Source organism: Homo sapiens, chromosome 16 (genome assembly GCF_000001405.40).
Source record: "Homo sapiens chromosome 16, GRCh38.p14 Primary Assembly".
NCBI classification, from domain to species: domain Eukaryota; kingdom Metazoa; phylum Chordata; class Mammalia; order Primates; family Hominidae; genus Homo; species Homo sapiens.
The window spans coordinates 22,064,229-22,085,764 of NC_000016.10; the positions used below are offsets into that span (position 1 = coordinate 22,064,229).

The following is a 21,536-nucleotide window of genomic DNA, read 5'->3' on the forward strand; positions in this document are numbered from 1 at the left end:
GTCATTAATGTTTAGTCTTTTTGTTAAAATACTTTTACAGATAATTCCACAGTACTTTTCTGGCCACAAGAATTAACCTACCAAATTTAACTTTCATTCTCTTTACCAGTCTCACCTTAATCCAGCTCAGTTCTGTGTACAAACCATGGAGGTTATTCATTCAGGTGAAATAAATGGGTTACTTCTGCCAGATTAATCTGGGAAGAAACAGTAAGTATCCTTGAATGGAATTCTTCCATGGGAGTTTCTCTTGATACCCTAATTGAAATGGAATAGAAAATGCAGACATTGTAATTTAAATTCCATTTTAACCTTCTACCTGACTCACTTTGGTTTATGCTAATTTCTTTGGCATACTCTTAATTTCTTTTAGATCCAGAGCATGTGCTTAAATTCATACATGATTGAAAGATTTCATAGTGTGTAATGTAAATGCAATTAGCACACTTAAATTTAATGTGTAATATCGTATAAACATTTTAGAATTTTAAAATTTAAAGCAAACATTCTTTTTTTTTCCAAAGACAGAATTGTATGGATTTATCTACACTTAGATAAGACAGAGTAAAAATACAAAGGTTCTCACCCCCTCTCCCCACGTCACCTCCAGTTCTCTTCAACCAGAGTAGGCTACTCTTGGCAGTATGACAAATATCCTTCCACATATTTTCTATACATTATATGGATAGTTTAAACATTGTGGTAAGCTTTTCTTTAATGAATTCTTCATGCACTATATGTTAAGAGCTTCAATAATTGGCAGAGTCATAGTGCCATAGTGAGGACAGATTCTGGTAGCATGTTGTACTTGTCAATAAAGCAGATTTTAAACTAGAGATTTGCTGCTAGTTAGTATTTAATGTCTTTATGGGATTAAACCTAAGGTCACTTTAGGGAGCAAGAGCTAATAAGCTGTAATGTGAGGGCAGTGTTGGGTATGATTTAGTCAACTGTAAAATAAGGCCTCCAAACTACAGTCATGCTTACAAACAGGTGGTAATAGTTGTCTTTTAAATCGGGATAGAGGGAACAGCCAACAGGATGCAAGGAAAAAGAAAATCAAACTTAAAGGCTAATGATCATTTTTTACTTGTTATATAACAAACATTTTGTTATTTCATTATAATAGCAAAGCTTTCTCAATCTCCAGGCTTCCGGCATTGGTATTACAATAAAATCCATCCCCAGAGCTTCTATTTCAGCAAGCCTGAACTTGCCTTGTGTGTGGTCATCAATCTGAATAATATACTAAAAAGTTGAACAGGGAAGTAATGTCCTGACTACTTTTTATGACCAATAGCCTTAGCACCCTTTTTATGTTGGAATGCAAGTTTCATGAGTACACTACTGTGTTAAATTGGTGTGTCTTGTACTGTCCTGTGTATGTTTTAACAAAAAAAAAATATATCTAATTTCTTTTCCTGAAAACTATTATTCAGTGCTTACAGTTCTGATTGCCTTCCAGGTGTTATCTCATTATCTTGTTTAATTCTCACACAGACCTAAATGGTGGTTGTACTATTTTTTTGCTGAAGCAGGCTTGGAAAGATTAACTGACTTGCCCAAATTAGTGACAAAACTGAAATTCAAATTGTGACCTGTTGTTGAGTTTAATTTCTGGAATGGCAAAGTAAGGACCTCCAAAAATCTGCTCCTCTATAAAAGCAACAAGTACACTGGCAAAATTATTAGGTCAACCTTTTCAGAACTCTGGAAATTAAAGCTTGCAACAATTGAAGGAGCATTCGAGAAAATTGCCTGTATTTGGGTAAGAAAAGCAAACTTTGTGGCAGTTTCAATTGTGCTAATTCCATCTACCTGTCCCCAGTACCCTTGAAAACCAGTAGCCTCACAGCTATAGTAGCTGTGAAAACTAGCAGCTTAGCAACCAATTGAGAGGGCAGGGGGTTTGGTACTTTTTAAAGCCCCATCCCCAGAGAATTGTCACTATTTGATCGGTCTGGCAGCTCACTGAAAATTTCAATTTTTAGGGCTTATCTTTGTTTGATCAGATTCAGAGTTTGCTCTGTTCTATTCCTAGGCATTTGTTAAAAACAGTCAGCAGTTGTTCAGCATCACAGGTTCCTGAGGTATTGGGGTAACAAAAGACTGACAGGCAAACATAAAGGAAAATTTGAGGAATAGAATGTCCATAGGAGTCTTTGAAAAGCTCCAACTTATTTCTGGGAACCTGAAGGGCCACACACATGTTTGGGACTGTCCACATACCCAGGCAACAACTGGGAAGGCCCTACTCTCTCACCTCTACCTGATTTAGGACTCAATGCAAGCAGGAAGTGAGGGCCAAGGCAGAGTTGTAAATTGTCTGCTGCAGCATTGATGATGTGCCACAGCACAGAGAGAGACCCCCTCAGCAAAGGCTGAGAGTCTTATTGGTTCAAAGAATGTAAAGAAACCTTATTCTAACCATTAGCTGACTACTAAACTAATCTAATAGATGAGGCCACACGCAACAAAGGATACAGACTTTACAGAATGATTCCAGGAAGGTTAGTAAACAGTAACAACAACAAATCCTGGGGAAGGAAGGAATTTGATTTCCATAGTTGTCACATTATATTATTCAAATGTCCAGTTTTCAACTAAAAATTACAAGACACACACAGAAACAGGAAAGTGTGGCCTATACACAGGAAAAATAAAAGCGTTCAATAGAAACTGCTCCTGATGAAGCCCAGACATTGGACTTACTAGACAGAGTTTAAATCAGCTGTTGTAATTATAAATATGTTCCCCAAAATAACAAAGAATTAAAGGAAAGTTTGAAAACAGTGGCTTACCACATAGAGAATATCTAATAAAGAGATAGAAATTATTTTCAGAAATAAAATAGAAATTCAGGAGTTGAAAAGTTAAATAGCTAAAACAAATCAGAAGTAGAAAGAATCATCAAACTTAAAGACACATCAATTGAGATTATTGCATATGAGGAACAGAAAGAAGAAATAATGAAAAGTGAAGAGAACATAAGAAATGTGGGACATTATCAGGTATATCAACATACACATAACGGGAATTCCTGAAGAAGAGAGAAAAAGGAGCGGAAAGAATGTCTAGAAAAACAATGGCTAAAAACTCCCCAAATTTGATGAAAAACTATACATTGAAAAATCTAAGAGATTCTAAGTAGGATAGACTCAAAGTAATATACATTCAGAAACATCATAGTTGAAAGACAAAGACATAAGAGAATCTTGAAGGGAGCAGGAAAACAGTGAATCCTCATATGCAAGGGATCTTCAATACTATTAACAGCTGACTTCTCATCAAAAACTATTAGGCCAGGGAACAGCGGGACATGTTCAAAGTGCTGTATCACTCTCGGCTGGATGTGTTATGGTGGCTCACGCCTGTAATCCCAGCACTTTGGGAGGCCAAGGCAGGCAGATCACTTGAGGTCAGGAGTTTGAGACCAGCCTGGTCAACATGGTGAAGCATGTTGTTTAGTAGAGAAACATCTCTACTAAAAATACAAAAAAATTAGCTGGACGTGGTGGCACATGCCTGTAATCCCAGCTACTCAGGAGGCTGAGGTAGGAGGATCGCTTGAAACCTGGTAGGCAGAGGTTGCAGTGAGCCAAGATCGTGCCACTGCCTTCTGCCTGGACAACAGAATGAGACTCTGTCTCTAAAAAGAAAGAAAAAAAAAAAAAATCACTGTCAATCAGTAATTCTATATCCAGCAAAGCTATCCATCAAAACTGAAGGAGAAATGTAGACATTTCAAGATAAACAGAAATGGAGACAATTCATCACAAGTAGACATGTTCTATAGGAAATACTAAAGTGTGTCCACAGGCTGAAATAAAAGGATACTAGTCAATATTTTGGATCCACATAAAGAAATAAAGAGCACTGGTAAAGGTAACTATGTAGGTAAATGTAAAAGTCAGTACAAATATATTTTTGCTTATAACTTTTTTATTTTAAATCAATAATTATAAAAGTGTGTTAGGCTTATAGTGTATACATATAATTTGCATAATAATAGTTCAAAGACAAGGGAGAGAATGGAGCTATATTGGAGTAAAGTTTCCGTATGCTACTGAATTTAAGTTGGTATTTAAATGATTGTTGGATTTCTTTTGAGGTAATATTCACCATTTTAAAGTGTACAACTTATGAAGTCCTTAAAATGGCCTAAAAAATAAAATGTACAACATAGTGGTTTTTCATACATTCACATATATGGATTTTCTTATAGTATTGTGCAACTATCACCAATGTCTAATTCCAGAATATTTGTAACATTCCAAGAAAAAGAAACCCTGTACTTCCCAATTTCTTTTTCCCCCATCCTCTGGCAACCACTAGTCTATTTTCTGCCTCTTTGGATTTGCCTATTCTGGACATTTCACATAAACGGAATCATACAATATGTGGTCTTTTGTGTCTGGCTGCTTTCACAAAGCATTGTGTTTTCAAGGTTTATCCATGTTGTAACATGTATTAGTAGTTCTTTTTTTTAATTGCTGAAAAATTCATTGTATGGCTATTTTGTTTTTTATTCATCAGTTGATGGACATTTGTATTGCTTCTACTTTTTGGCTATTATGAATAATACTGCTATGAACATTCATATATAAGTTTTTGTGTAAAGATATGTAGTCTCTTCCAACCCCAAGTTGGTGCACTGCAGGACAATTCAATTCTGACACTAATCACCTGGAGTTAGTGCAGACCTCACAAATTAAGGACTCAGTTCTCCACAAATTCAGATGCTGCCCCCAATGCAGATGCTATCCACAAGGTCAGGGGGTCCCCAGGCTACCTCTGCTTCTCACTGGCTACAACTTTAGGGGTTCCCATGATCTCTTCAGGTTCAGTAAGGAGATACAGTGCTTTGATAGGAGCCCAGAGGACAAGCACTCAACTCAGGATGGGAGTGTAAGAGCTTGTCAAGGAAGATAGCCCAGGAGCAACTTCTAAGCTGCAACTGGAATTTCTAGTCATAGGTACTAGCCAGGAAAAGAGGTTTGATAGAGTATTGTAGGCAGAGGGAACAGCATATATGAGGGCCTGGGGTGTGTATAATATAAGGAGATATATGAATTAGGAATTAATCTAAGAATTAGAGCATCAAGTATGAAAAGAAATGAAAGACTAGAAGCAGTATAATCCAGACCTTTACAGCCCATTTTAAAGAGTTTGGATTTAGGACAGAGAGTCACTATAGAAGAGCCAGATCCAAGAAAGATCCCTAAAGAACACAAAATTTTAACAAATGGGAAAGAAAAAAGTGTGTATGAAAGGAGGAGAAACTAAAGAGGCAGGAGGAAACCCAGTAGATATGGAGGGAGTTACCAAAACCAAAGGAAATGTGTTTGAAGAAGCTATATCAAATGCTGCTAAAATGTTTTTAGTCCAGGACTTTAAATGTTAAGCATCCATTAGAGTTGGTGTTATGGAGTGAGTGAGCTTCACAAGAGCTCTATCAAAATGGTAGTTGGGGCAAAAGCCAACCTTCAGTAGGTTGAAGAGTGAATGAGACTCTGGGAAGTGAAGGCAGCAGAGGAGGAGGAAATCTGGCCATGGCTGGGGGCACGGGAGGTTAGACAAAGCAAGACAGAAACAGAAAGCATGATGCCCCTGGAGGACGTGTTGGCATATGGGATAGTTTTGTTTTATGGTAGGGGAGACTTAAACACATTCAAACATTTTTGAGATCCAGAAGAGGATAGATATGAAAAGAGAAAATAATGTATTGGGCAAGATCCCAAAGAAGGGGAGGATGGGATCCAAAACACAAGGAGAAAGGATTGTGAGAATGAAAGAATGAATGTGTTCAGATACATTTGTAAGTTTGATGGTAGACAGTTGAGGATTTGCTGTCTGATGGCCTCTACTTTTTTCTGAGAAATAATAGAGACTGATACCTACTGAATATGAAGGAAGTGGTAGATTTTTTAAAGGAGAGTGCAGGAGTCTTGGAACAGCCTCAGCAAAGAACAGTGAAGCACGGAATTAGTGAGACCTAATTAGTTTCTAGACAGAGATGACGGCCCTGAGATTAAAATTTAGAAATTTACAGCAGCACCCGTCTGCTCTGATGTGATTTTCTCCATCAGCATTCCACAGCCTGAAGGTTAGTACAAGAAGGAAGAAATTTCTATTGAGTCAGGGCTATCATTTTTGCCAGGTGGGTGCATGAAAAGATAAAAGGTGGTAACATAATGGATCAAGGACTCTAGGCTGGGTAGGGAAAGACATGAAGGCAAGAGGAAAGTGAGAGACTGGGAGAAACTGTAAGGATGGGTGACTGTAAACTCCCGGGAGGGTAAGAACAGGTGAAAGTCACAGGAAGGCATACTACAGTGGAGAGTAGGGCTCAGCCCCAGCCTATTATGTTACTCAGGTTTTCAGACACTGTCCATGTGTGGCTCATTAAGTTTCTTTGATTTACCTGTTCACTCTTTTTTTTTGGCCAGTTTGCTATTTATAAGCACCTATATCCTAAAATACAATTTAGAAATCATAGCAGATAAAAATCATCACCACTAGCTATGTTTCTAGAGGAAAAAATTAGGTGTGTGACGTTTTTAAGTTACCCGTAGGCTGTTGTTTTGTTTTTGTGCTTCTACTCATTCAGAGGGCGAGCTGCCAGCGTCTGACTTACCCAGGGAGGTGCACAGGGCTGTGTACACTGGGGTCTTTCCCCTTCCTGCTCCCCATCTTCACGTGCAATCCAATTCTAAATTTCTTCAGCCAGCCCATTGCTAAAACATGAAACTCCGTAATTTCAGTTCAATTGGGATACTACCCCTCGCTCAAATACAAATGCTCTTGGGAAAGGCAGTATGTTAAGCTTTTATCAATCATTAAGACATTTGTGGTAGAGTATTTTTTGGCCTGTGTAACCAGTGAAACAGCTTGCCAAGAACAGATTTTATTTCCCCAAGGAGGAAGTAGAGCAAGAGATCCACATCTGTGGTAGGGATTGGGCACTCCAAATCATAGTACCTAGAGCTGACAGGGAGAGCCCCGTGAGAGGAGGAGAGCATTGTCCGGAGGAGGAAAACGTAACAGGGAGATGGAAGAAGATAATAGCTAATGTTAACTTCGCTATTTTTGCTCAAATCCAACCCTGTATGGGAAAACGCTCTCTCTGGCCAGGTTGGCAAGCACTCCACATGATTTGCTCTGACAGACTGGTGGCCGTGCGCCTTTCTGCCTTACAGCCCCTGTGTTACAGATTTTCTGTGACACTGCTTTTACATGTAGTGATGACATACCTTATAATCATCCTCACTGTGGCAACAGACATGCTCAGACTGGCTGTATTAAATCGTTTTAACAGTGTCTGGATTTACAGATGATGAGCGTCGAAGCTTCTTAAGATGCCCCCACTTAATGGAGTAAGACTCAGGATGACTTTCCTTTTGTGTGTTATGCTGCACAGGTGAGATGCTGAGAGGCATGTGGGATGCTGTAGTTTCTAGTTCCATTTCCTTTTTCCTATTGTGTACAAGTCTTTTATTTGGCTGGGTTAGTTACCTAGGAAACAGCTGCAGGGTACAGATGGATTGGCTGTTTGGGGAATGGAATTACAGGCCCCTTCAAGAGGCAAAAAGACCTGTTGGATAAAACAAAAATTCGTGAATGGCTGAGCTTGTATTTAATAAGTGTGCAGAAACCACATTAAGATAGCTCTACAGTAGAGAACTTATTTAATGCAGTGCGATTTTAAATTTAGCTTGTTTTTAATACATTTAAACTCACTTAATGCTTATGAATTCCACTACTGCAGGCCATTTTGGGGTTTCCAGTGGAGTGGAAGGTGCAGTTCCCTCCTCTGAAAAGCTCATGTCCTGTTTGGGGATAAAAAGAAGCTACCTTAAAGTAAGTGCATGGTTGTATGATACAGACTAAATGTGTTAAGGGAATTTAGAAGAAGTAAAAGATCTTGACTATTAATGTGGGTGATGAGTCTGAAGCTCAAGGAGGTAATTCCTTGAGGTAAAATATTAAATTTGAAGGCCTGGTGAAAGTTCGGGTACTAACAGACCTGAATTTATAAGATTTAATAGTAACAGCACAGTTAGCCTTGCAAATTCCCCCAGTCAGCTTACAGAAAATATATGACTGTGTTATAAATGTTGTCAACTTAGAGTCTCACTCAAGAAAATGAACTTTAACAATGTTGACTGACCACTGTTTGCATTAGCCCTTGCATATTTAAGGAAAGTCTATTTTTACTGAATGTGTGAGCATATTAGTTGTTGAATCTCTGACTGCTACTATGCTGAGCACGAGAGAGACTCAGCAAAATATTTGTGTATTGGCTGGGTGCGGTGGCTCACGCCTGTAATCCCAGCAGTTTGGGAGGCCGAGACGGGCGGATCACGAGGTCAGGAGATCGAGACGATCTTGGCTAACACGGTGAAACCCCGTCTCTACTAAAAATACAAAAAAATTAGCCGGGCGTAGTCGTGGGCGCCTGTCGTCCCAGCAGCTCGGGAGGCTGAGGCAGGAGAATGGCGTGAACCCGGGAGGCGGAGCTTGCCGTGATATCGCGCCACTGCACTCCAGCCTGGGTGACAGAGCGAGACTCCATCTCAAAAAAAAAAAAAAAAAGTGTATTGATTTTCTTATATACAGTATGCCTTCTGTTTGTCGATTAGCATTAGCTTTTTTTCTTCTAGAATAGAGCTGCTATTTGGTTTTGATTTATTGTGATAAGGAATTTGATAAATACAGGACTATAGCTATTCTTTTAAAGCTAAACCGTGGTCAGATTATTTGCAGTTTTATAGAAGGTGTTGAAATTTTCGTGCTTGTTCTGTTTGTAGTCACTTGGTGTGGTGTGCTAGACAGAGGAGGAGGAAAGCAATTCCACTCAGAATCTACAGGCACAGGAGGTTAAGTTAAATTTCATTTCTAACGCTGAGAGAGTAAGAAAGTCAACATAAGGATACTCAAATATTTAGAAGGAAAGTTCAGTTATGATGTACTGAACCTACAATTTTTAATGTTTACCAGCAAAAAAAATCAAATGTAAATCTAAGTTCACTAGGTATGTAGTTACCTTTGTAACTGTACAGACTTTGTATGTTAAATTGAGAAGAAAGTTGCTAATATAATAATTCATAATATTGCATTTTGTCAGAGGGTCTTTCATTGCCAGCAGTTACATCTTTTATAAATGGAACAGTGACTAGAAAAGGATAATTTGTTAACGGTCTTTTGCTGAATGATCAGGAGGAGTTTCCTGTTAAGAGTTCTCGAGCACTGCTGTGAATGCCTTCTTTATTTCCAAAATTACAAGAAAATGCCTTATCATAAGACACTCCCTCAAGTTTTTTTTTTTTTGTTTTCAAGGAGACTTTTTAGTGTTTTTGTTTAAGAACAGTCATGCAATTCCCTGGTGCCTACTCACCTCTACCAAATCCTCTCTTCTGGTTTCAAGCAATTACCGTGAAACTTAAAAGGTTAGCAATAAATAGTGTGACAATTTTTTTTTTTTACTGATTTACTTCTCTTTGGCCTATGAAGTCAATCAGCTCCAAGTAGAAGGTGGTGTGTGGCATAGTGTGTGGCATTTTTGTGAAGATTTGTGTACTTTCTGTCCGGTCTGCCTTCCTCCTGCCTGTGATAACCCCATAAGTATAATGTTGCTTGCACCTGGGCAGGGATCACCAGATGGGTATAGTTATTAGATGACTTGGGAGAAAAAGTACAGCTTGTTTATTTTCTTCTCTGCTTAACAGTTAGCATTTGGGGGAGGACTCAAACTCAACTTTGAGAGAACTGATTTCTTGTTTCATTTTATTTCAACAAGTTGCTTTATTTCTAAAAATACATCAATGGCCAAACTCAAGTTGCAGAAAAGCACCCTCCTTCCAGCAGCCCCACCTAGCCACACGTGCACGTGCACACACAAGTCCAGCCCTGCTCTGTCTTCCCACCAGGGCAGCTTCCCAAAATGCCACTAGGAATTTCACCAGTTCCCTTCACAGAAGACATTTGTTCGTGGCAAGTGCTATGATTTCGAGGTCAATGTCTTTTTTATTTTTGTGTTCATATTGAGAAAATAATGCTGGCCAGGCACAGTGGCTCACACCTGTAATCTCAGCACACTGGAAGGCCAAGGCGGGAGGATCGCTTGAGACCAGGAGTTCTAGACCAGCCTGGGAAACATAGACCCCATCTCTATAAATAAAAGAATGTAGACCAAAAAAATCCCCCCAAAATGCAAAAATCTGTTATGTTTCTAATAGCTCCAGAAATTTCCATTCCTATATTTTTGGTAACTTTTCCCATTTGCCATTGCTCTTGGAAGGGGAAACAAGTAGTTTTTATTGAGAAGTACCATTGAAAACATTCTTCTTATTGGGGAAGAAGATCAAATAATTGCTCTGTCACCTTTCTAATCTAAGTTTTTATAAATTACCCCAAATTTGATTGAGGGAGGGCCCTTGGGTTTGACATGAGAACATCCTTATGGAAAAATAATGCTTGATGTTTTACCAAAATCACTTTTATTTGAATGGGGAGAGACACTTTAAGAATTACCTTCATAATTTGCCTTTGTGATTTTCTGTGAAGCATGCCAGCCATGGTTTGGCAGTGTGAACACTTGTAAACTCTACAAAAATTGGTGAATATACCAAGTTTGGGACAGAGGGCCCTCCTAGTTTTTCCAACATTTTCTTGAGTTTAATGGAAAACTACTTATACTGTAATATTCTTAGACCTTATACCTTTCATAAACATATTGCTTCTGGCATTTAATCTATTATTTAATTTTATTTCTATATTACAATTAGGCATATTTCAGGTTTGTCTTCAATTTCCTGAAAAGTGATTTTCTTTTCAGCCAAAATGAAGTCATATACAATGAGTCTTGGATCTAGGAATCAAAAAATACCAGTTCTTTCTGCCAGCATGCAGGCTCAGTGAGGGCAGGAACCTCATCCTGTCTGCTGTTATTTCCCTGGAGCCTAGAAAAATACCTGACACAATTACTCAGAAAAGTATTTATTTAATGAATGCCTGAGTGAACTGCCTGTTATGACTTTTCTGAGGTCATTTGTTATTTTTTTAGGTTCACTTTGTATGTTAAACTAAGTATTACTACGTTATGAACTACAGCAGATGCTGAAGAGTAGGACTTAGGATGTGCTTGAATGACCCACGAAGAGATAAATGAGATTTAAGAACTAAAGGGGTGGTGGTGAGGAATATTCCCTGGACAGGCCAAACCCACTAAAGTATTCCCACCATTTGCATCTCCCCAGGAGCACTCACTGTGGGCCTCGTGCGACAGTGTCAAACAATCCATGGACGAGACCGGACGTGCATCCCTCCCCGGCTTCCCCCGGAGTGGGTCACCACACTGTTTTTTATCATCATGGGAATCATTTCATTGACTGTCACATGTGGTTTGCTGGTGGCTTCCCACTGGCGAAGAGAAGCTACAAAATATGCTCGATGGATAGCATTCACTGGAAGTAAGTAACCTGTGCTTACTAAATTTGTCTAGAAGGCACCCACCCACACTGGTATTTTTATGAAGATAATCAAGAATCAGTAATAAGGACTTCATAATCATCAAAGAGCACCACTTGTGTATGGCCGTGAGATAGACTCTACACAGTCCCATCATTTCTTCAAAACTCTTTCTGCAAGACCAGGACATCCACAACTTTAATCACTTTGTATGAAATGCTATTTTAATGAATTTTATTTTTGCTCAGATTGTGACATAAGTGTTCCAGGTTTGTGACTCAGAGTTACCAGTAGCCTGAGTCTTTTCCTCTTCTTGAAGCTATTGGTATCATCTATCAAAATAAAGATAAGTATAGAACAAATACATAAAAATATAAATTAGATGAAGGTGGAAATATTTTTTAATATTGATTTTGAGTTTCTGCTGTATGTTGTAACCATTGAAAAATCAACACATTTTGTTATTTAATAATTGTTTATCAATATTTCTTACTCCATTAAGCTCTGCCCAAGGGTATAAGCTTATATATTACACATTCTCTTGTACTTTGCAAAATTGGTTTAATTTCACAACACATCAGAGATTTATCTCAAGTTAAACAGAAGAAACAAAAATGCACAAAGAAAAGACATTTCTGCAATTCTGCTTTCGTGCTTCTTTTTCTCCAAAGCAATTTTGCACCCCAGGGGTTATTTAACAATATCTGAAAACATTTTTGGTAGTCACAACTAGGGGGATGCTGGTGGGTAGAGGCAGGGAGGCTGCTAAACGTCCTACAAATACATAGGACAGCCCCCCACAACAAAGAATTATCTGGTTCCAAGTAGCAGTAGAGCCACTGTTTAGAAATCCTGCTCTAAAGAAACAGGAGAACAATACCTATGCAAATGAGACTTTTAATTCAGTGCCTTAAAATAATCTCAGGTTTGCATACATTTTTAAAAATAAATATAACAGCTGACTTTCTCTTGATATTTTCATTTAGAACGCATATAATTGGGATAAGGGATAATCCCTTGTATCCCTATTAATGTTAAAACTCAGTTTATCCTAAAGGGCTGCAGGAGAGTGATATTCCTTCATGAGCCTCTGTTTCTTCCTGTATTCTCTGAAATTGATACTCTTTAATGTGTATGTTTCTGACTCTGTTTATCTATATTGCCCTTAATTTTTAAATTTAGATCAAGTTGCCTTTTATATAAAAAAGGTTCTCCATCCTTGTTAAGCAGAGTGAAACAAGTTGGTGACCTTTCCCCTGTCCAACAGACCTCCTGAGACAATTCTTTTCTGGAGAGAGGGTCCAGAAGCAATCGTAGAAACAGTGCGGCTAAAGTTAAGGATATTGATGAGAAATTTAAAGAGAATCTGCTTCTTTATCTTTTACTCACAGATTCACTAATCCAGATAGAAATCACTCTTCAAGGAGTGAAATAATATCAAAGAAGGATTTAGTTTCTGGATTTAGTTGAAATTTGGGAATGCATATGCCTTGAATACCAAAAACCTAAAATATGATTTAGCAAGGTAGTGTGAGTCGAAACGTTATATGCTCTCATGAGCTATAGATTCTTATGACCCAATAAAGGGAAAGAACTAGGATTATCTGTTTTCCATTCCCCTTAAGCAGAGAATATTTAAGTATGTGTAGTTGCCCCCAAATGCAATGTATTTTTTTCTTTATTTTTTAAATAATTTAACTTTTTGAAATAATATGTGCATATGATGCATAATTCAAAATCTCTGAAAGGGTAACCATGTGAAATCATATTTGGCCCTGTCACCCAGCCATCCCATTAACCCCTTTCCTGGAGGCAACCATTTTTACCAGTTTCTGGGGTTTCCTACTAGAGGTATTCAGTGCACAGAAACATATCTATTATGTGTGTGTTCCATACATACATATTTATGTAAAATTTTTTCTACTGTTCTGTATCTTGGTTTTTAAACGTAATATATCTTTGAGCTAATTTCATTTAAGCAAGCATAGAGCTCCCCCATATCCCGTGACAGCCCCACCGAGGACCTCCTGGGGCTCCCTAGTCAAACAGGTTAATGAGTCTAATGGCTCAAGGCTTCTGAGAACCTCCCTGGTGCATGAGGACCTTGAGGGTGAGGATAAGGGCTGCCTTGCTTTTAGCTTCCTTAAATACATTGTTTTTGGTACCAGAACGAGTGGCTGGGGTGACAGTTCTGAGAGGGATTGGGCGCCCCCTAGTGTTTCCACTCCACCCCTGAAAAATGTACTTTATTATGTGTATTTCTATTCCCGTTAAGCTATAGTTTTCATAATAATGTAAGGGTGATATCTTCTGATGGCCGTGCACAGTGGGGAAATATGTCTCAGAGAAGAGCCCCCACATGATGGGGGTTCCCTATGGGGGCAAGAGAAACCAAGATGAGTCGTCCTGTTCTTCAAGTTTGGCCCTTGTTCTTTCCTTTGCCACCCTGATTTCCACCCTCACCTACCAGTGCACCTGATTTCTGACTCTCGCCACCAAGAAATCTGTGCCATGGAGGATATGAAATTGTGTCTTTACAAACTTATTTAGGATCCAAAGCTCAGCCTTCAAAGTTTGATATTATCAGCATTAATAATATTTTAAGATCTAAAGTAACTTAATAGTTCACAATAGCTTAAAAGAAAAACTCATCCACCTGCATTAAATCTGCTCCCAGGAAGTATAGAGAACCTGCTTCCTTGGATTTAAAACTAAGGTTAAACAGGACTTCATTGTTCCCTTAAAATTTAAGCCTTTTCTAACAAATTTGGAAAATATTTAACTCTTGAAAATGTTAAACTCTTTGGTTGCAGAATGATTACTCCATTATAAAGGATAGATCTTTTTTAGAGTAGAAAATAGGAAATGATAGGAACAAAGTTGGCATGTCAACATAATGAACAAATTTAACATCTGCATATTCCTAAAGTACTTTTCTAAATTACTTGTTTCTTGAGATTAGTCAACATTAAGAAAAAAATTGTTTTACAACAATAATTTTGCCCCATTGTTTTTTAAATTAGATTGTGTATAGTTACCTAAATTGTGGTTTCATTTTACTCACCAGACCATATTAAGCTGTGGAACCATTAGAAATTGGTGACAGACAACACTGATAAGTGGGCATTGGCAGCACTAATAGTTATTTGTTGCTGACTATGCAACAAAAAAGCTAAAAGCTATAAAACATAATGCCTGAATTTTTCATTTGTTCTATAGTAGCTATCTAAAAAAATCCAAGTTTGCTTATGTAATATTATTTGGTGTGGTCATTTGCCCAAAATGAAATAAGCTGTAAGTTTGTATAATATAAAATAATCTACCTAAATCGTACAAGTAAGAGTGCTGTTGTTTCTTAAGCTGATGTATTACTTAAGCAAATGTTTTTTCTCATTGTATTGCTGGAGTTATTCCTTCTGGAAGGGGTTCCTAATTGACTTTTTTAAAACTCTGAAAGTTTTGTTGATTGGTTAACACACAAAAAAATGTAGAGACGAGTGTCAGCTGAAATGTTTATCCAGGACTCTGTTAGTATTGCTGGGGGATAGTTTTCACCTGGAGGTGAAAACGCATTCAGTTAATAATGGAAGGTCCAACTCTTCATGTACAGTGCCTAGTAATCTGTCCTCACATTACACTGAAGAAGTATTTCTGCCTCCAGAGAAAGTTGAAGGACAATGAACACTTGAGCAATATGCTTTCAAAAAGCAAAAATATTTTCTTGGAAAAGCTAGCCTATCTGTAAATAGTTTGTGTTCACTAAGAAGACCATTTCTTTGGTAGCACAAGGGAGCAGGCCATTTGCTGAAACACTGGACTGTGGAATCACTTTTACCCGGACATTGGGTTTTCTGATATCCTTTTAAAAACATTTTAACAAATAATATACTCCTTTGTGTTTACATGCAAAACTCAAAGAAGGTTACCTATCCTCCCTGACTTTAACCTACCTCTCTGGGTATTCAGAAACCAGACAGAGATTTTATTTTTTGGAATATTATCCATGATAAGAGATAACCACTGTGACACTTTACTAATCCCAGAGATCTGAGGTTATTTCTACTAGCTGGTTTTATTTTATTTTTATTTATTTATTTTTGTATTGAGACAGAGTCTCAGTCTGTTGCCCAGGCTGGAGTGCAGTGGCACAATCTTGGCTCACTACAACCTCCACCACCCAGGTTCAAGTGATTCTCCTGCCTCAGCCTCCTGAGTAGCTGGGATTACAGGCTTGCACCTCTACGCCTGACTAATTTTTGTATTATTAGTAGAGACAGGGTTTCACCATGTTGGCCAGGCTGGTCTCAAACTCATGACCTCAGGTTATCCGCCCGCCTCGGCCCCCCAAAGTGCTGGGATTACAGACATGAGCCACCATGCCCAGCCTCTACTAGCTGATTTTAAATCAGAGTAAGATAAGTGATGCTTATTTATATGTACCTTTTCTCCAATTCCTTCTCACTAACACTGAGAGGAACAGAGAATTGTCAGAATAGTAACTATTGTGATAATGGTATGCAGCACTCATTCAGCACTTACTGTTACCTGGCACTGTGTCAGGGACTAGACATTATTTTATTTATCCTTCTAGTATTTCCCCCATTTTCAGAAGGGAACCAGAGGCTTAAGATTACACAGCTAGTAGGCAATAGAGCTGGAATTGAGCCCCTATCTGACTCTAGCTAGTGCCCTTAATTACTATTGTAAATGGCTAGGAATCGTATTTGTGAGGATTTGGTAGGTTTGGAAAAGGACTTTCTTAATCCTGATATTCAGAATTGTCCTAAAACTTACATAAAAGCCTAACCTAGCTTTTACTGTATTGTTAGGCTTCAGGGATACTATGTGACCTGAAATATATACACATTTTTAACAAGTGGTCCATGTTTTAACAGGTTTGGCCAGCCCTTCTTACAAGCTTCCTTTGTGCCAAATTTTCATTGTTTTTTGAAATCACCAAACCATGTTACTAATGTTGTGTTTTGGTTTGTTTTACAGTGATCCTTTTCTGTATGGCTGCCCTAATATTTCCAATAGGATTTTACATCAATGAAGTCGGAGGTCAACCTTATAAATTACCCAACAACACAGTAGTTGGGTCATCATATGTACTTTTTGTCTTATCAATTTTCTTTACAATAGTAGGACTTCTATTTGCTGGCAAAGTTTGTTTACCAGGCTGATGAATGTCTAAATTGCTTGACTCTTATTATTTTTTATTTTATTTTATTTTTTTATTTTTGGAGGGTGGAGAGGACAAAGGCGAGGCATCTGAGCAGGCCTCTCATGGGAAGATGCTCAGATGAAACTGATGCTGAGAAGGAAAAAAAAATGCTTTGGTTTGTTCTCACTATGCACTTTGGATTTAAAAAAAAAAAAAAAAAGGAGAGCCTTTTCCATAACCAAATACAGACAATATTGACTAAATCTCCTGAGCATATTCAGGCAGTCAGGTCTGCACTGTGATAGCAACCTAGAGAAGGAGAATGCTTTATACCGAAAAGCATGTGGCCCTTTGTGACTCTGTTATTCCGTTTTTAATGTCTAATGATTCATTAGAGGAAAAAAAAAAGTCTAAGTATTTATGTGTCATGGTGGACCAGAGGGATGCAAGAGAAGTTCATGTGGGGCTGGCCTCACCTCCTAAGAAATTAGTGTTCACAACTTCCTTGTAATAGTATGAGCCTTTGGCACCAGAATGGATTGCCGTTGCATTACTGCACCAAGAAGCCAATAGATCAAAACTTGTTTGCTAAAATGTATGTAAAAATTCTGAAATTCCCTCTCTCTGTGTACAAAAAAAAAAAAAAATCAAACACTAAGACACATGTTTTGGGTGGGTGGGTGGGGGAAATCTTCCTTATATTTATATAAATATATATAATATATATATTTTGCTGATGCAGTATACAGTGTGTATATATGTGTGTGTGTGTGTGTGTGTATGTGTGTGTAAATTTATATACACACACATGCAAACAGTTCCTGGAAGAGAATTCTGAATGCTTTGCTAGCAAAACACTGTGGTGTGCAAACCTAGAACCCAATAGAAAAAAAAGCCATTTATCTGAAGGCTGCATAGTGGAGAGAGTCTTCAGTTTACCTCATTCTTTGTAGCAGCCCTTGATTTTAACAGGTTTTTGTAATAGGTACAGATAATCCCATACCTTTCTAGGTGCGATTTTAAGTTAAGCTAAAAATTATTTGTAGGGTTAATTTATTTGTATATGATAGTAGAAGGTAAGATCATGTCAAACCTTATAATTTGGGGAATCTGACACTATTTAAATTATTGGCAACTGTTGTCTGTTGTACAGAGATTCTTTTTCTACTGGCTCAGTCTGTTACATTAATAATGCATTTTATATGTTCAGGCACACTTTACATAAATACAAAGTTCGCTAGTAAATATCTGGCTATTTTGGCTATTTACAACACTAATTTCATTATTTTTATCTGTAAGCATTATTAATACATCTTTACCAAAACCTGAGCAATACAATATTTTCTTTATATGTTATATGCCTTTGTTTGCTAAAAGCTAATATTTTTGCATTTACTTTAAAGGGCTGTACTAAACCCACAGCTTTAAGTTCTTCCCTAAAAGAAGCATTGCAGCTAACCCTTGAACTCACAGTTTTAAAATACAGTATTTCTCTTCTCCACATCTCCATGCCTTCGCATCAATGCTTGTTTTTCCTGGTGAACACTATAGATAATCTCCTGTTTGAAATGTGGGACAGGGTGTTTCATGGCAGTGGAGCTAAGTTTCTCCTCTTTATAGTGAACTGGTGACCCAAATGTCCCTGTCATTTATAGTGAACTGATGACCCAAATGACTCCCTGTCAGTAGAGTCCCATGTGGCCCATGCTTCACACAAGCAGAAATGAACGCACTGTTTTTAAGGCTAGATTATCAGTTCTAGAATGATTACTTCAAAGATGGGAGCTACCTCCTCAGATATTCACACTATGAAATGGAGGTGCTTGATGTGTTTCACACTGGCTTGTTTGACAGTCTTCTATCTTACTGTTAATTCAGCAGTATTTTATTGTGAAAGAAAACCCCAGTGTTTGAGCTCACTCAGGAATTGGGGAGAGAGATGGACCACCACTGTGGTGCATTTCTTAAGTGTTCTGGGAGAATGTCATACTTTTCCTTCCCAGAGTAAAAGAAACCTTTGGGAGATCCTGAGGGAGACTGTTTCTCCCCAAGTATGATGATGTCTAGTCAAGTCTAAGAATACCACTGGACATGTTCTATGGACATTTGGGATTGCAGTTGCTATTCTGATTTGATTGGTCCTCAGTCAAATGGATCACTTTGAAGGAAAGCTTTGGTTGTCACCGTTATATACCACTGAGATAAAGTGTTAGCAAAGTATGGTTCAAATTAACTTATGACATGACCAAGAGCTTTTCTCTTCCAAAAGATGAATTGTATTGTAAATAGTTTCTCAAAATATTTTTAACTGGATCATGAGCATGGGGAGAGAAAGTTTCTCAGCTGCTAAGAATTTCCCCACTGTTTACTTCTTTCACTTATGGTGGTATTGCATTTAAGATTACAAAATTTAAGGTTTTATTTGTATCTATTACCCAAACCATTAAATTGTCTTTAATTTCATTGTTGTCTTGGAGGTCCAGTGCATACAGGGCTGATGGGGGAAAACTCCCTCTAGCCAGTCAGCACTCTAACCCAGGATTAAACCATCCCATCAAGTAGTATGTGAAGTCAAGTCTTCGTACTCTTGCAGACCAGACATTGAAATGGATTCATTCATATAGATTTCTATAAATCCTATAAGTGAAAAGATAGACAACTGTCCGCAGTTGCTTTTAAAAAAGGTCACTATAATAAGTACTATATAGTACAGTATTAATTTATAGCAGGAAATCGTATCTTGTAAACTGTATATAAAACACTGTTTTATGGTGCAATCATTTGTCAAACTTTTGTCTGTTTCATTGTTTTTAGAGTGTGTGCATTCTTCTCATACCTAAGAATATCACTGTAAAATCTGCTGAAAACTATTTTTAGGTTTTATTTGCACAAGACTGAATTAGTTTGACATTTTTGGAAGCTCCTATTGAACATACCCAAACATCTGTAAACATGAAAAATCTTCAATTTATTAAAAGCAAACATTTCAGTATGATTCTTTCCAAAGGTAATCCATGTTCTATGTTGTTAATGTGTGTATGTAATTTTTCTGACTCTTCCACCTCTTATAAACCTATTTTCTGTTTCATTTGTTTTGTTTTTGAAGGATGGCTCTTTTTTCTTTTTAATGTTCTAGATGACCAAAACACTATTGGTTTTTACCCTTTTGCCTAAAGCTTTGATATCCCCACTTGATGTTCTGTGAATTCACTGTTTAATCTATTAAGTGAAATAATAAATAGTCCTGGTGACAAACAATCTGTTGATTTAGAGGAAAGGCCCTGAAAAATACAGTATTGGAAACTAACTTTGCATATGCTGTTAGCTATTATTTTGCATCATGGGCTTCATGGGAAGAACATGTTGCATTTATTTTGTCTTTATTAAAAGACTACTAGCCACAAGTTACTCTGATTATAGTAACTGTTTTATCAACCCACTTCATCTTTAAAAAATTAAATTTACATTCACAATTCAAAACAGTAAGCTGTCTTTCAGAAAATTTTTGAAGGATAAAAACATGAAGGAAAAAAGTGGCCCGTGTAGGTAGGATTCCCTACACAGGACTTTTAGTTGTATCACCTCAAGAGATTTTGAAGTTTGTGATCAAGGTCTGTATATTATCCCAAACTTTATTAAGAATTGTTTTCTAATTGGTTATAACATTTTTCAATTAATAGTTTCAAAACAAATTGTTAATACAACTGTATAAAATGAACATAATTTTCCTCACTTGTATTTTTGTTATTGAGCAAGTTTATCAAAATAAATTGTCTACTAAAGAAACTAAAAAGGCTTCTATTACTTTGAAATAAGCTTCATTTAAAAAATTGATTTCTTATGGAGGTTTCACATATTCACAAGTGCCACTTCCATGCCTCTTGGGTTGGTTTTTTGTTGTTGGCATTGGGGGGTGAGGGCGGTCTTTCCCTATCTTCTTCCACTCCCACTCTTTGCTCACCGCTAGAGAAGAGATGCCATTAATATTCCAGGACGTGGATTAGGCCATGATTACCCAAGAGTCACTCAGCAATAAAAGACCACATACATGTGGCTTTCCCTTCTGCGTCATGCTTCCATGAGCTAGGAGAGAGAAACCAAGCCAAAGCCCTCAAGCCAACTATCTTTCTATTCTTTCTTCCTTGCACATAGACCCAAGTCCATCTTTGCTTCAGTCTTCTGTTTCTACTTTACTCCAGGCCAAAAGATCTTAGCTTTTAAAATCTTAAAGTATGGGCTGGAGGAGCAAATACAGAGGCCTTTAGGCCCTGTCACAGCTTAACTATAGCTCTCTCTGGGGGTGTCAAGATTAGCCCAACCGAATAATAATAATAAAATATTTACAGTTTGCTGCTGATTCTTCCTTGTGTGGCCTTTTGAGGAGCCTCCTGGGGAATTGGAGGATTAAGACATGGTAAGATTTAGATGTTCTTGGGTTCTAAGATTAAGGGGTTTCCTTGGAGGTGAGACTTGAAGTACTATGTCTGGGAAAGTTCCAGGCAAACTAGGATAAGTTGGTCACCCTACCCTATCTTCACATCATCTAAATCTTCTCCTGATTTGTAACACAGATTAGAGGTTTTTGGGGGGTTATTTTCTATAAACATTAATGAATAGGTCAATTGGAAATTGTAATGGTAGATTTATGCTGAGCTGCTATGGTGGAGGGGACACTTTTTCTATTTGGTAATACCTTAGGAAAAGGTAACACAGTGGCTTTGAAAACAACATGGGTTCAAAAATACTTTATTTTGACTTATTCTTCTATCATCTCTATTCTAGCCACTATGAGAAGATTATAGGAAAAACACCAAGACTAGAGGACTCTGGGTTCCTTTTATGCAAAGTCAACTCTTCTGGGTCACAGTTACCCAGCAACAAAAATAAAGGTAGTTATTTATAA

General features: G+C 37.6%; 1 protein-coding gene and 1 long non-coding RNA gene across 5 annotated transcripts in view, besides 1 other annotated feature; one reads left to right on the plus strand and one right to left on the minus strand.

Annotated features, from left to right (window-relative positions):
* MOSMO (modulator of smoothened) overlaps window positions 1-21,536 on the plus strand; it is an 84,542-nt gene that overhangs the window by 56,118 nt on the left and 6,888 nt on the right. For 3 of the 4 annotated variants that reach the window (XR_007064906.1, XR_007064907.1, XM_047434583.1), the window contains exons 2-3: window positions 11,259-11,471; window positions 21,416-21,522. Coding sequence is in view for 2 of the 4 variants with exons in the window: in XM_047434583.1 (XP_047290539.1) it covers window positions 11,259-11,471; window positions 21,416-21,522 (320 nt within the window). In the remaining 2 variants the exon portion in view is untranslated. Of the gene's footprint in view, window positions 1-11,258; window positions 11,472-16,467; window positions 20,427-21,415; window positions 21,523-21,536 lie in introns of those variants that run through there. The other variant, NM_001164579.2, reaches the window with a different exon arrangement.
* LOC124903665 (uncharacterized) lies at window positions 196-7,326 on the minus strand. The gene is made up of 3 exons (XR_007065027.1): window positions 7,254-7,326; window positions 6,638-6,737; window positions 196-258 (listed from the first exon to the last, which is right to left on the minus strand). It is a non-coding gene; the product is annotated as an uncharacterized LOC124903665 (long non-coding RNA).
* Window positions 6,580-6,874: a silencer, noted in NCBI's record as "tiled region #14412; K562 Repressive non-DNase unmatched - State 23:Low". NCBI's record gives its function as "represses a minimal TATA promoter and a strong SV40 promoter by Sharpr-MPRA in K562 cells {active_cell/tissue: K562}" and the evidence as "EXISTENCE:reporter gene assay evidence [ECO:0000049][PMID:27701403]".